Source organism: Homo sapiens, chromosome 11, assembly GCF_000001405.40.
Source record: "Homo sapiens chromosome 11, GRCh38.p14 Primary Assembly".
Lineage (NCBI taxonomy): Eukaryota > Metazoa > Chordata > Mammalia > Primates > Hominidae > Homo > Homo sapiens.
In genome coordinates this window covers 130,703,115-130,718,097 of record NC_000011.10, presented here as the reverse complement: position 1 = coordinate 130,718,097, position 14,983 = coordinate 130,703,115, and the positions used below count along the sequence as shown (strand labels likewise).

Below are 14,983 nucleotides of genomic sequence, written 5' to 3'. Positions count from 1 at the left end.
TCGAGTGCTTGCTATATTCCAGTCCCCTAGCTTTTCACCTGGCAATTCACCGTGGTAAGAACTTTATTTGCATTTAGTGCAGTAATTAAATGCATGGGCAGAATCTGACTAATTTGCCAGGACACAAATCCTGGGTCTACCACGAATCAGCTAAGCATCCTTGAGCATTAACCTCTGAGAGCCTCAGTTTCCTCATTTGTAAAATAGAGAGTAATATCTGCCTTGCAAGAATGCTGTGAGAAATCAGTAAAACAGTGTTTGCAAAGCTCTAAACTCAAGTGACCAATCATGCTGAGCTAGGGACTGTCCTATCGAAGGGGCATCTCTCTCTCCAACCCCTTCTAGCCAGCAAACTTCAAACCCCAGCTCTTAAAGAAGCCTGGAGAAGGCAAGAGAATGAGCAGCTCCTGAGCTGCTCAGAGCCTGCAGAATCTTCCTACAGCAACCATTCAGCTGTGGTTCTGAAGTGTTTCCTAACATTCATATGGCCCAGATCTGTCCTCTTCTTGCTTCTACTTAGTTAGCTTCCTTCGGAGGCAAAAAGATTATACCAGCATCAGGAATATGCGCAACGTCCCAAGTTTGCCACTTTCAAAAGTTGCCTCCTATGAGTTTGTGTCCTTGGAGAGGCCACTGTCTGAACCTCAATTTACCCACCTGTAAAACTGGTAGATAATAGTCTCAGTAATACTTGATGTAAAATTTTGAGATTATGTACACAAAATACTTAGTATACATATTCAATACATGGTTAGTATTATCCTCGCTATTTTTACTGACATATGAAAATGTTTTGTGAACTGCAAAACTCTGAACAAATGTCAAATGTCATTAGCTATTCTACAATTTTATCAGAAATCACACACAACGCTACTGGTGCCATGTGAAGAAAACACTCAGGGCATGGCCCTGCCTCCATCCGGCAGCACATGCAGCCCATGGTCAGGATCTGCAACCTGCAGAAGACATCAGTCCAGCAGATATGTTCAAGCGGGTTCAAGCGGGTTCAAGGGATTAGACGCCTTGCATCTTAGGGTCAAGTTCATTACTGGGATGGAGTTGGAAGAAGCAGCCTAGACAGGCTCCTTTCCTGCAATGATAACGGTTCCTACAGTCCTCTTGGAGAAGCACAGACTTTGGCTGTTAGGTAGCAGGTGGAGGAGAAGGTGAAGGGGAGGTTGGAGCTGTTCTTGGGGCTGTATGCCTGTACCGCAGACCCCAGGCATGGTTTTCATAAGCAGTTATTAGTAAGTGGACAATAACCACTTATTAAGGCTAAATTTCATGCATGCTTGAGAGAATGAAGCAACATGGAAAAGGGAATTTACTGATACTTTCTGGTTGTAAGTTATTTCTTTAGAAACATTGGGGCTCTGTTCTGCCCTGACAGAATGGAGGTTTTGGCTTTTAGGGGAATTCAAAATTCAAGAAAGAGATTAATCCAGGAGAAAATGATGGCTTTTCTGAAGGGTGTGGATAGTAGTCACAAGAATGATGATACTAGAAATCCCGAGGAAAAGAGCATCCCGAGGAAAAGAGCATCCTCAGGGAGGCTGTGCATCCAGAACAAATAGAGTGATCCTCAATATCTACTGCGGCCCATGACTACATACAAAAAGGGCACGAAGCACTCTACACACATCACTCATTTTGTTCTGTTTACAATTCTTGGAAGTCTTTGTTATTACTATTATTTACAGAAGAGAAAGCTGAAGTTCAGGGAGATTAAACAATGTGCCCAGCATTGCCCAGCTAGCATCTGGTCGGAATAAAATTCCAATCGGCCCTTGCTGCCTGGATCTAGAGATTACACCCAAGGCTGACTGTGGCAATTTTTATGACATCAATCTGTAATATCCACTCTTGTTTCCAAGGGAGGCAGAGACTGCTAATTGTCTTCTGATACCTGTTCTTGCCTTTTTAAAAAATAATAGAACTATATAAAAATTAGCTGACCACACAGCCACTTGGAATAAAGACATATTTTCCAGTGTCTCTACAGCTAGATGTAGCCACGTGACTAAGTACTGGCCAGTGGGATATAAGTTGAAGCAATGTGTTCAATTTCTGGGAAGTGTCCTTAAAGAGAAGGCACATGCACTTCCCCTCCCCTTTCTTTCTTTTTCTAGCTGGCTAGAATGCAGATGTAATGACAAAAATTGGAGCCACTGTCTTGGGCCACAAAATAGAAATATTGAAGAGGGCAGAGGAGTGGTATAGAACAAGGGCAGTCACAAATGATTGCAGAGTCACAATTGCAACTCTCATCTGCCTCCCTACAATTTAATGTGAGATACCAATAAATCTTAACTTTGATTAAACTACTGTAATTTAGGGTTTCTGTCATTCAGTTGGATAGAGGCCTATCTATTGCACAAGATGCCTCTGTTCTTTGTCCATGCTACTTAGCATCATTGTTCCTTTCTGCATTCTCTTCTTTTCCTCCTCTACAATTTCATCCAAATGGATTCAAATTACACATGTATCAGATTAATGGCAGATCACCAAAGGGGCAGAAAGGCAGCCTGCGACCTCAGGGGAAGGCAAGTGTGGGTTGGGGTGAGGGTCCATGCTCTTGGAGGCAATGTTCTTGGACCTGACCAGCAGGGAGGGAGCGGCTCAAGAGCAGTTCTTCCTAGTCCATTAGCCTCTGGTCCATTTATGAGGCCAGGGATAAGTCTTGCCAACAAAATAGTCTTTCCAAGAAAATAAATTCAAGTCATCCTGCTCTTCTGGTTCCTCTCCTGCCATCATTCCCAGAAAGTCTGAAGTACACGATGTTGGCTGTCATGGAACATCTGTCTCCTGTCCCACCCAAAAGTACCAGATTCCAGGAGGGTCTGAGCCAGACTGAACTGGACTTTCCTCTCCTACATGTGTCATCTTTGCTTATCTTCCAGGACAATCCGTTTGAGCATGGCTGCAAAGAGAAGTGATTCTTTCCTTTCCCATGGAAATGCTTCAAAGAGTTCCAGCATGGGGGTGATCTCAAAGTCCCCTGATCATTGAATCCTAGAGCTGGAGAGACTGCAGAGGTCATCTTGTCCCAAAAAGATGATAATCTTACAGCTAAAGGAAGCAGCCTACTCAAATCATTTGTTATTAGAGAGCTGGGACAACTAATAATATTAACAGCAACAACAACAGCAACAATTAGGCAGTTCTTTCTAGGTACCAAACACTGAGCAGAGCATTTAACATGGATTATTCATTTAATCCTCACAACAGCCCTATAAAATAGGCTCAGAGAGGTTAAATAATTCACCTGATTTTACAAGCTATTAGCTTGTTGAGTCAGAATTCAAAGGAGGTTTATTTGTTGCTTGAGCCTAAACTCATCTCTTTTCACAGCATCATACTATGACCTAATAACATGTCAAAACAAAAAAAGGTCACAATTTCCCCTCTGTTGATCCCAACAGGAAAGCCCAGAGGCTCACAGAGTTGTTGTCATTGGGCTTTTTTATACGCAATGCTATCCTCTGGACCACCTGGAGACCTTGATACAGACAGTCCCCTCTGTGGGAGTCTAAGATCTACATCTGGCAGAAAGTTGGGCATCACTTCTATTCCCAGGCACCAATCTGAACAAACACCTTCAAGGTTCAGGCTAAAGCTCAATGTCAGGATCTCCCCATCCTGACACCCCCTTTTCCCTCACTGGTTTATTCAGTCATTCAAGAAGTCTTTATTGAGTCAAATAAAACAGTGTCTAACATTAAGGATAAGGATAAAGAGTTAAACAAAACATGATACCTAATTTTCAGGACCATTTCACTGGAGAGACGGACAATAAATAAATAATTGGCCGAGTGTGGTTGTGCACACCTGTAGTCCCAGCTACTCAGGAGGCTGAGGTGGGAGGATCGCTTGAGCCCAGGCGGTCAAGGCTGCAGTGAGCTATGATGGCACCATTGCTCTCCAGCCTGGACAACAGAGCAAGACTCTGTCTCTGAAAAAAAATTAAAATAAAGAACAAATAATTATCTAGTGGCAATTGTGACAAGTGCCTCAAAGGAAAAATTCATGGCACTCATGACCGTATTAAAGGGCACACCTGGTGAGGAAATGGAATGTGAGAGGGATAGAAACTTGGTAAATTCAAGAAACTGAAAGAAAGCCAAAGCGCCCAAGCAATGAGTAGGAGTCAGATCATTCAGGGCCCACCAGGCCGTGTTAATAACATTAGACTTGACCCTAAGAATGATGCACAACTGTAGAGTTCTACACAGGTGAATGACAGACTCCGATTTGCATTGATAAACAATCTCTTTAGCAGTTGAGTGCAGAAGACATCAGAGTAGAGGCAGGGAGGTGTCTTAGAGGCCATCATAATTGTCCAGGTGAGGGACAAAGGAGTAGGGCTGAGGAGGGAGAGAGGTGGATGGAACTGAGGGGGCTGACAGAGCCAACAGGAGCTGCATGTGAGAGTGTGGAGGTCAGAAGACAAGTCTTATCTAGAGACGCATGACGGGCAGTCATCATCTTCAGAGAGTATTTGAAGGCACGAAAGTGGTTGAGATCTCCCAGATGGAAGTAGAGTAGGAAGAAAAGGTGGTCTAGGATCAAAACCTGAGGAACTTTAACATTAAAGATTGGGCAGAAGGAAAAGATCCCTCAAAGAACACTGAGGGAATGAATGGCCAGAGACGTAGGAGACAAATCAGGAGAGTGTGGAGTCCCAGAATTCAACAGAGCATTCCAAGAAGGAAGGAATGGTCAGCGGAGCTTAAAACCCCATCGTGGACAAGGGAGGTGAAAGATGAGTGGCGTGGGCTTCCAGGTTGGTGAGCGCACCTTGGGGAGGCGGTGGGACAGGAGAGGGCATGGAAGTCCTGCCTCCCACACTGGCTCTCTCTGGGGATCTCTTCCATCTCATCCAGCTGCTCCTGAGTTGTAGTCTCCTGAGAATATGTTTAATTTATTTCATTTATAAGACATGTAATAGCACTTTAAAAGTTTCAAAATTCAGGAAAAAATCAAAACATTGCAAGCTAAGATTTTACAGTTGATTTTTAGAGTATTGCTGTTAACCGAAGAATCTGAAAGAGATGGACTTAACAGAGAAGCGACTGCAATTAAGAGTTTATATTTTAAATATTACTTCCTGAATATGACTCTACTACTTGAGAAACTTCCCAGCTTAAATATGTATAAGACAGCATTGGTTCTCCTTATTTTTTGATCTGTTAACATCACCTGAGAGTGTTCTATAAAACTTAGAATGTGATTTTCCTAATGTAGTCATGTATATCTTACTGAGTGAGAGTTTTGTTTAAATATCATTCCTGAATTAGGATTAAAATACATCTACCATTATACATTTATGCTTCATGACCAAAGACAATATCAAGTATTTTAATGTGGTTACATTTAGCCAAAATAGAAATTGCTGTTCAATGGGTATAAAGTTTCATTATGCAAGATGCATAAGTTCTACAGATCTGTTGTGCAATATTGTCCTTAGTTAACAATACTGTATTGTGCACATAAAACTTTTCAAGTGGAAAGATCTCATGTTAAGTGTTCTTACCAAAATAAAATGAGTTAATCCAACCTCTTTATAACTTTAATACATTCTAGAGATTCTAGATTTCCAGAAAGTAAATTAATCTGTGAAACTGCCCATACTCACAATTATTAACTATGCATTCTTTTTCTAATGCTTGTATCAGCCACAAAGATTTTGAATAATTAAATATACCTTCTACTTTGAATAGCTATAAGTTGACTTTAAAAATAGAATAGAAAAAAGACAAATAATGTTCATAGGGGAAGGCAACATAATTATTGCCTATAGCAAAAACTATTTCAGTAAACTGGTGACAGTGGAAGCCAAATTGGAGTGAAATACAGAGTGAATTAAAGGTAAGAATGTGGAGACAGCCATTTCTACAGACCCTGTTTCATTCCAGACTTATCCTGGGTTAGCTCTGGCTCACAACACATTCAGGGTCACCCTAATTCTCACCTCAGTTCCATAGGAGGAAAATGTCAGAAGATTGGAAGCAAAGCATCCTGGCTCTAGTCCAGCCGCAAGACTAAGATAAATGATTGGAGAAGTAGAAGCACTAAGTCTAAGCTCATATGAATTGGGTCAATATTTTTTTAAACCTTGCAATATTAAGTTATCTTAAAGAGTTCTACATAGATAATTTTCTAATGAGCTAGGAGTCAACTACAAGCTCAGGAAAATAGAGGTAACTTGATGCCAAGAGAATTGAGGCAAGGAGGTGTGAAGGAAGCCAAGAGGAGCAAGGAGGGGGAATTAAAGAACCTGCCCAAAGACAGGATGTGATCAAGCAGCAGTAAAGCCATCAAGGTCGAGCAACAGGAGAGCCAGTGACACCTGGCCAGGTAGAAGCACTCGAGGTGAGCTGGCTGTAGAGTCCAGGGGCATGAGAAACTTACACCATGTTGGGTATAAGTTATAGTGACAGAAGTCATTGCTGGCTAGAGTCCGGGCTTTTAACCATATGCATACAGCCCCAAAATGTCTCTCGCCTCCCCTGTGAGCTATCATTAGTCTCATTTTACATACGAAGGCTTGCCTTAGCCACACAGCCACTAAGTGGTAGAACCAAAATTCAGTCCCAAGCCACTTGACCCAGGGCCTGCAATGCCATTCTGCAAGATGTGAGCCCAGCCAACCTCACTCTTCCCTGCTGTGACAAATCAACAATCAGAGGTGGAGACTGGACCTCTATAGACCCGGAAGTCAGTGCAACGTGCCATTCTCCTGATCATATCATCTTCCACAGCTGGGGGCCTCAGGGGGCGGCAACCCTCATGAGGTCACCGAATCACTCACTCAGCCCTGTTTCTACTCTTGATATAGCAGAAAATTCCTCAGCATAGCTCTCCTGCTGAAACGTCTCTTTCCATCACCTTAAAATCATTCCTTTTACAGGGACTGAGCACCTAAGGCATCTCCAGAAGCAAACCAGAAGCACCAGTTGGTGCAGAGAGAGAAATTAGTTCCTTAACACCCACCCTACCTCCCCACTTGGTGTGGCATTTGGCCTTTAAGGGTTTTGAACCTTCCCACCTATTACAAAGTTTGCGCAGTGGAGAAGAACCAGGGAGGGAAGCGAGCATCCATCACATGTAATTGCATAACATCTCTGACAGAAGCCACTTTTGTCCTCATTCACTAATCCAAACACTCACGATGACCCATGGGCTCTGACATGCAAACAGCAACCTGACTCCATGCAGACTGATGGAATAGGAAGTCAGCCCGAACCGGGTATGCATGTGCAGCTGGATTTGCACATCGTTGTTTGTCTGTGTGTGAAGCTATGTGTGTATCCCTAAGAGACAGCTTGCAGATTCTCCAGCCCTGACTGCTTACTTGGTGCTTGAGAGAGTGGGACACAAGTATCTCATTCCGCTGAGTGTCAGGCAATGTGAAGCGTGATGTCTGGGGACCAATTCGGTTTGTTTGCATCTTTATTTCAACTGAAGCTCTTCCGTTCCCACACACCCCAGAGATGAGGTTCTCGAGCGTCCCGTGGGGCCTGCTGAAGCTATTTTCACAGTTGCTAAGCAATGCTAGGCCTGCTTCAAGCCTGGTGAGCTCACGGCTATGCTGTGGTGGTGTCTGCTGGTAATCTGGACTTAGCATTATAACAACTGAAAAGAGAAAGGAAAGGTGTGTGGGCAAACAGCACACATGAGAAGTGACAATGTGATGAAGGATGAGTTGATGTGGGACCTAGAGCCAGGAGAAGCAGTGAGCACAATAGGTACCATGTGTAGCAACTACTCTCTCCAGGTATGAGCCGGGCACCATGGCACACACGAGTTCATTTAACAGGAATGGCACAAAGGCAGGAGAGGCAGCCACATGAGAGCAGATGCTTGCCCTCTTGGTCACGGTTGTACGAGCTATGGGCTCACGCAGTGCCTGGCACATGGAAAGAACTGAGCAATTATCAATCAAGTAAATGAATCACAGTGTTTAAAAGCAGGAAAGAGCTGTAGCTGTCATCTAACCCAACTTTCTCATTTACTATATGAGAGAACCACTTGAAGAAACTCCCCAGATAAACCCTAAAGTCTATTCCTTGTACACACCTAACTCAAAAGGAGCCCACAAGAAGAACAGAAAAGTTGCAAAAAGAAGAGGGTGGTGGTGTTTCAACCCTGACCTTCCCAAGGCACAGGATCCGGGCATCCACTGGTGACCAGGAAGACAATATGGGAATCATGCCTGACTGCTAAGGCTTGCCAGGGCCTCCCGTCCCCACTGTTACCACCCCCTGCCCTGATACCTCAGGCCTGGGCTGCTGCCACAGGTCCTAGCCATTCACCCAGACTTCCTCCCTTGCTGTCTCTCTCCCAGATTGTTCTGATAACACAGCAGCACCAGTCCCTCTTCCAGCACACAGCCCTTCCCATTGACCTGTCTGGGCTCTGACCCAGCCCCACCAGCCGGCCCTTCTCTTCCTGCAGACTCCTTGCCACCACCCCATGTTCACCCAGCGTCATTCACCCAGAGCCCCAACACCTGCTGCCCTTGCCAGACCAGGCCTCCCTACGCTGTCCACACACAAGCTGATGCAGAGCTGTGTGTGAGCCTTTGACAAGCATCCCTAGGTCTTCCCTCTGCGGTCATGACTTCCCTGAAGACTCTGCTCCCCCAGGGAGCCATCCATTTACATTTTCCCCAGGCTGATCACTTTTGTCATTTGGATTTCTCAGGAAATTTTTTTAAATTGTGGTAAAAGAAATGTAACATAAAATTTGACATTTTTAACCATTTTAAGTGTACAGATTGGTGGCATTAAATATATATACATGGTTGAGCAAACATCGCCACCATCCACCTGCAGAACCATTTCATCCTCCCACACTGAACTCCATACCTATTAAACAACAGTTTTCCACTCTTCCTTTCCTCCAGCCCCGCATATAATGGAATCATGTAATGCTTGTTCAATTGTGCCTGGCTTATTTCACTTAGCGTAGTATCTTTAGGTTCATCCAGGAGGTAGCATGTATCAGAATCTCATTGTCATTTAAGGCTGAGTAATACCCCATGCATATGCCCACCACAGTTTGTTTATCCATTCATCCATCAATGGACATTTGGGTTGTTTCTGCCTTTTGCCTACTGTGAATAAAACACTGCTATGAACATTGATGTACAAATACCTGCTGGAGTTCCTGCTTTCAATCCTTTGGGCGTATGTTCAGAAGTAGATTTGCTGGATCATAGGATAATTCTGTTTAATTTTTTGAGGGCCTGCCATACTGTTTTCCATAGCACTGCACCATTTTGCATTCTGAGCAGCAATGCACAAGGGTTCTAATTTCTCCATATCCTTGCTAATACTTGTTTGTTTTGTTTTTATTTTTGATAATAGCTATTCTAATGACTTTGTGTAATTGTGGTTTTGACTTGCAATTCTCTAATGATGAGTGATGCTGAACATCTGTTGATGTGCTTATTAGCCATCTGTATAATCTTTGGAGAAACGTCTACTCAAATCCTTTGTCCGTTTTTTAATTGGGTTGTTTTTGTCATTGAGTTGTAAGAGTTTTTTTTTTAATATTTTATGGATATTAATCTCCTATCAGATATATGATTTGCCTATTTTCCTCTATTCCATGGGGGAAGAGTGTCTCTTCACGCTGTTGATCATGTTCTTTGATGCACAAAATTTATTGATTTTAATAAATCCAACTTACCTGTTTTTTTCTTTTGTTGACTATGCTTGTAGTTTCATACCTTTAAAGATCATTGCCATGTCCAATGTCACGAATCCTTTCCCCTATGTTCTCTTCTAAGAGTTTTCTATTTTTAGCTCTTAAATTTAGGTCTTTGATCTATTTTGAATTAATTCATGTATATGGTGTTAGGTAAGGGTCCAACTTAATTATTTTGCATGTATCCAGTGTTCCCGATATTATTTGTTGAGAAGACTTTTCTTTCCTCATTGATGGTTTTGGTACCCTTGTTTAATGTCACCTGATCATATATGCAAAAATTTATTTCTGAGCTCTCTATTCTATTCCACTGGTATAGATGTCCATCTTTGTGCCACTTTCAATCTGTTTTGATTCCTATAGCTTTGTAGAAAGTTTTAAAATCAGAAGAATAAGTCCTCCAACTTTATTCTTATTTTTCAAGATTATTTTGGCTATTTGGGGTCCCTTGAGATTCCTTATGAATTTTAGGGTAGATTTTTCCATTTGTGCGGAAAACATCATTGGTATTTTGAGAGGAATTGCACTAAATCTGTGAATCCTTTGGGGTAGTGCCTGGGAAGTTTTGAAAACCTTTTCCTGTAGCTATTGCGTTTATGTATGAATGCCTTCTTTATCCATCTAGATGGTAAACTTCTGATCATAGGAACGGTGTCCTCTGTCTTTCCCGTCTTTCACTGCACAACACCAAAGGCACTAAGTCATAAACAAAATGAAGAATGATTATTCCTCTAACTAAATTTTTTCAAATGGGAAAAACTAGCAACTATCTACTACTACCCATAAAATCTTCTAGCTTTGGATTTCTTCAAGCTTTCTAGTGAATGACTTAGAACTGATAAAGAAAACAAGAGGGATCACCAATCCCTGCCATATCTGGAAGGCACCGACTCCCTTCGTGGAGCACTACTTACAGCTGATTCCATGACTGCTGGCCACACCAGGGAAGCCAACACCTCTTCCTTCCCTGATAATTCCAGTCAGTGCTGCAGTTTGGACTTGACTGTTCATAAGAAACCCAAACAGAAGGTAATTCCTAGACTGGTGGAGCCTTTGCTGATACAACAATTAGCACACTGTGGGGGTGGCTGTAATTGTTGTATTTATCTACCGTTTATTTGGAGCTTGCTGTATATCAAGGGCTGAGTAATAAGTGGGCTTTCCACGCATCATCTCAATGCTGGGGGACAGTCAGAGCCAAAGGTCATGGTAAAAAGGAGACAGATGTGGCATCCAATTCTCAAGTGAGTGGACGACCTTAGAGAAAGAAGCCCAGGTGGGGAGCACCCATGTATTTCAACATGCAGTGAAGCATGCTAGTTACATACAAAATCAAAGTACTTGCACATTAGACCAGTGTTGTCAGCTTTCATTGGCTTTGAGTATGGGTTCTCCCTGTAATAGGTCTATAGTAGCAGCCTTTAAACAACCAACAATAGATTCCTTCTAAGGAGAACTCTGCAGAGTTGAAAGTATACAGAAAAGCAGTGGACGCAGACTTGATCCCAGCACACTCACCCACCACAACTGCCAGGCTTGGTTCCAGGAGTCAGGACCAGAAACTCTTCCTGTGCTATGGCTCACACCCTGAGCTAGGCCCTCCAGGACCAGTGGAAATTCCTGGTGGGGAGTGTTGACAAGTTAATTATGAGTCTACACTGTCTGTGGTGACTGCAAAATTGCCCACAAGAATTGCGAGGAGCCAGATGTTGCTGCTACGCTGAGTGATGTGTCAGATGTGCCAGACATCAGGACAGTGCCGACTTACTGCCACCGCAACCAGAGACTGAGGTTAAACAGTAGTTTCCCTTGAATTAGTTGGCATCACATAGACCAGACAATTGATTGGTTGGATACATTTTTACTTTTCCATGAGACATTTGTTCTTGTATAACCTAGGTGTTGAGATCCTAATGGAGCAAGGATGAACGCAGTGAGCTGTAGTAATCTATAAACCTGAGTTTTTGGAGACTGCTACTTGTGTCTTCTACCATCTCTCCATTCAGCAGACCACCTATTCCTCTCTTAGAGCTCCCTATTCCTTGCCAGCACTTCCTGAAGAACACAGACAGCCAGACCTCTGTTGTTATCCTCCCTTCAGCTCTGAGAACACTGTGTGTGCTCTTAATTTGGACTGATCTCCATATAAATCAGGTCACTTGGCTCACAGATAAGCTCTCATCTGATCAGACTGTACCTCTACGTTCAACCAGCCAAGAGGGCAAATATATGCCTAGAGAACCAGGGTGGATAGAGAACAAGTCCACTCAATCCAATCTCACTACTGTAAAGTAACTCACAGTGAATGCACTAGTAATATGGCTCTCTAGTGTCATTTTCAATAACTAAAGCAAATATTTACACCTTCGGGTCTTAACTGCTTATTTGTCTCAGTGCTATGCATCATAATCCTTCACTGTCTGCCTTGTGCCAAGATCCTGAAGTGCAAACTCCTTCCTTCATGAGTCAAAGGCTTCCAAAGTGTTCCCTGGCCCATACTCTCTAGTCCAGCCTGGCTGGCTTCCTCACTGCCCTTCAAACATGCCTGCACATTTCTGCTTTTGTGTCCTTGCTTGTCACATTCTTCTCGCTGTGCCCCCATGCCCACCACCACCAAGTTTCTGCCAACTGCCCCGTCCTGGATTCAGCCCCAGGTGATCTAAGAGGTTCCACTGACCGCCCTGGGTACTAGGGATCTGTTGCCATCTCTCCTACCTTTTCTAGATTTTTATTCTTTTACTATTGTTATGGGTTGACTTGTGTCTTCCAAAATTTATATGTCAAAATTATAACCTCAGTACCTCTAAATGTGACCTTATTTGAAAATAGGGTCATTGCAGATGTAATTAATAAAGTCAAAGTGAGGTCACACTGGAGTAGAGTGGGTCCCTAATCCACTACTAGTGTTCTTATAAAAGTAGGAAATTTGGACACAGAGACACACACACAGGAGAACACCCTGCAAAGATGCAGGCGGAAATCAGGGTGATGCAGTAGAAGCCAAGGCAGAGAGCCTACTATTGCCAGCAAACCACCAGAAGCTAAGAGAGAGACCTGGAGCAGGTTCCCCACACAGCCCTTGGTAGAAGCCCACCCTGCTGACACTGAGACTTGGACTTCCAGCCTCCAGAGCTATGAAGCAACAAGATCTATAGCTTGAGCCACCTGGTTTATGGTGCTTGTCATGGCAGCCCTGGGAAACAAACATAACCACTTATTAGTTATGTATTAAAATTAGATTTAATGGCCATTAAGGTCTCAATACTTGCGTCATACAGACATAGGTGTTTTGCATGGTTTTTTCCTCATTTAATTTTTTTTCTTTTGTTTTTGAGACAGGGTCTCACTCCATTGCCCAGGCTGGAGTGCAGTGGCGTAATCATGGCTCATTGCAACCTTAACCTCCTGGGGTCAGGTGATCCTCCCACCTCAGCCTCCTAAGTAACTGGGACTACAGGCATGCACCACCATGCCCAGCTAATTTTCGTATTTTTTTTTTTGTAGAGACTTGGTCTTGCCATGTTGTCCAGGCTTGGTCTGGAACCGTTGGGCTCAAGCAATCCTACCGTCTCGGCCTCCCAAAGTGCTGGGATGACAGGTGTGAGCCACCGCACCTGACCCTTCATTTAATATTTAATAAACTATAAGGTAATGGTAGCATTCCTGCTTTAAAGACAAAGCTAAGATCATAGGGCAAGTAAAAAGGTTGAAACCAAGCATGCCATGCTAGGTTTACTGCTTCGTGCTGCCTCTTCCCTGTGCTGACCTGCAGGACTAGCTTTCCATGTGTGTCTTCTCTCACAAGGTAGACTCAAGTTTCTTGGGGAGAGAGATAATATCTAACACATGTCTGAGCCTACAAAATGGCTAGAATCAGACATTTTCTGTAGTACTTGATAAATATTTCTGTGACAAAATACATTCTGTACATCATATTATTTTCATCATCATAAGCATCCATTGTTATGTTTACATTATCTTCACGCATGACCTGGTAGATTGGAGTAGGGGACTAGAGAGCTGAGCTGAATTTCTGGGGCCTGTCTCCACCCTAGTGGCTCCTCTGTGGTCCCCTACCAGCTTGGTATCTCATGATAGACACTGCCTATATCTTTGTGCCTTTTCTAATCTTCATTCCCTGGGATTTGAAGAGCTTGGGAATCCAAGGACACTGCTCACCAGAGTTTCCAAGAGCAGCAGCTTCTGTGGGCTCCAGGCCTCCGGCCTTGGGAATGAGTGAACACGGAGCCATGGAGGCACCAAGCTGTGCTCTCAGGCAGCTTCCTTTCCTCGCCACAGCTGCCTTTGAAAGGTGCCACCTTGCAGAAGAATCTGACAAGCCCTTGCACACAGTGTGGCCTTGTGTCCCCCCAGCCAGCCATGCTCCCTTCCATCTTCAAGGGTTGTCTTCTTATGTGTGTGGAAACCAAGACTCTTCTGCCCAGAAGTCAGCTGACACCAAAGCTGCAAAGAAAGGGGAGCCGCTGCGCAGGAGAATAGAATGTGGAGCTGCCGAGGGCATCCATGAGGGAAGAGAGGAAGGAGGAAAGACAGGGAGGTTGAGGAAGGGCAGGAGGGCCCATCCTCCAGCGTTTAACACACAGACACGTCCTCCAGATCTTGAGTAAATTCTACTAGCATCCACGGTGTGGGTAATTTCTTATGGAAACTTGTAAAGAAGCCAAACTTTGTACCCAGCAGATAAGAGGCAAAATAGAGAGAGTGCCTACCATGAATTGAGGCAACAGCTACATCCAGGTGGCACTATTTATTTAAAAGGTGAAATGAGCTATTAAAAAAACAGTGAGATAAGGAAGTAGGAGAACATATGCCAAAGGGGTCTGTAGAGTCAGGGAAGGCCTGTCCAAAGAAGTGGATATGAAGCTGAGGACTAAAGGGTAAGTAGGAGTTACTCAAAGCAAAGGGTAGGGAAGAGTGTTCCAGAGAGGGGGATCAGCACATGAGAGGGCCCTGAGGCATGTGCTGGGGAAGGATTCTCTTAAGGGGTCAAATCCAAATGGGTGGCCAGAACTGCCTGTGTCAGCACCCACTACCCGGCAATATGGTATTTTTAGCAAAGATCACAATAATTTCAAAACAAAGCCAGGAATTACTCAGAGACAGTAGGAAAAGATATTTTTCTTTAAATTAAAAGAATGTTATTTGAGGCTACATAGAGGAAAATTAATAAAACTTACAGACTACATTGGAACAAGGACCCTTTTTATAGGTGTTTGCCTTCACACATGATTTCATCCCAGCAACTGAT

General features: G+C 43.5%; 1 long non-coding RNA gene across 1 annotated transcript in view; it reads right to left on the bottom strand.

Annotated features, from left to right (window-relative positions):
- Window positions 1-745: 745 nt before the first annotated feature.
- The window catches only part of LINC02873 (long intergenic non-protein coding RNA 2873), a 44,397-nt gene continuing 30,159 nt past the window's right edge, over window positions 746-14,983 (bottom strand). Inside the window, exons 2-3 of the long non-coding RNA NR_164144.1 lie at window positions 4,798-4,904; window positions 746-3,952 (exon numbers count right to left, since the gene is read on the bottom strand). This is a non-coding gene — a long non-coding RNA (long intergenic non-protein coding RNA 2873). The remainder of the gene's footprint in view (window positions 3,953-4,797; window positions 4,905-14,983) is intronic.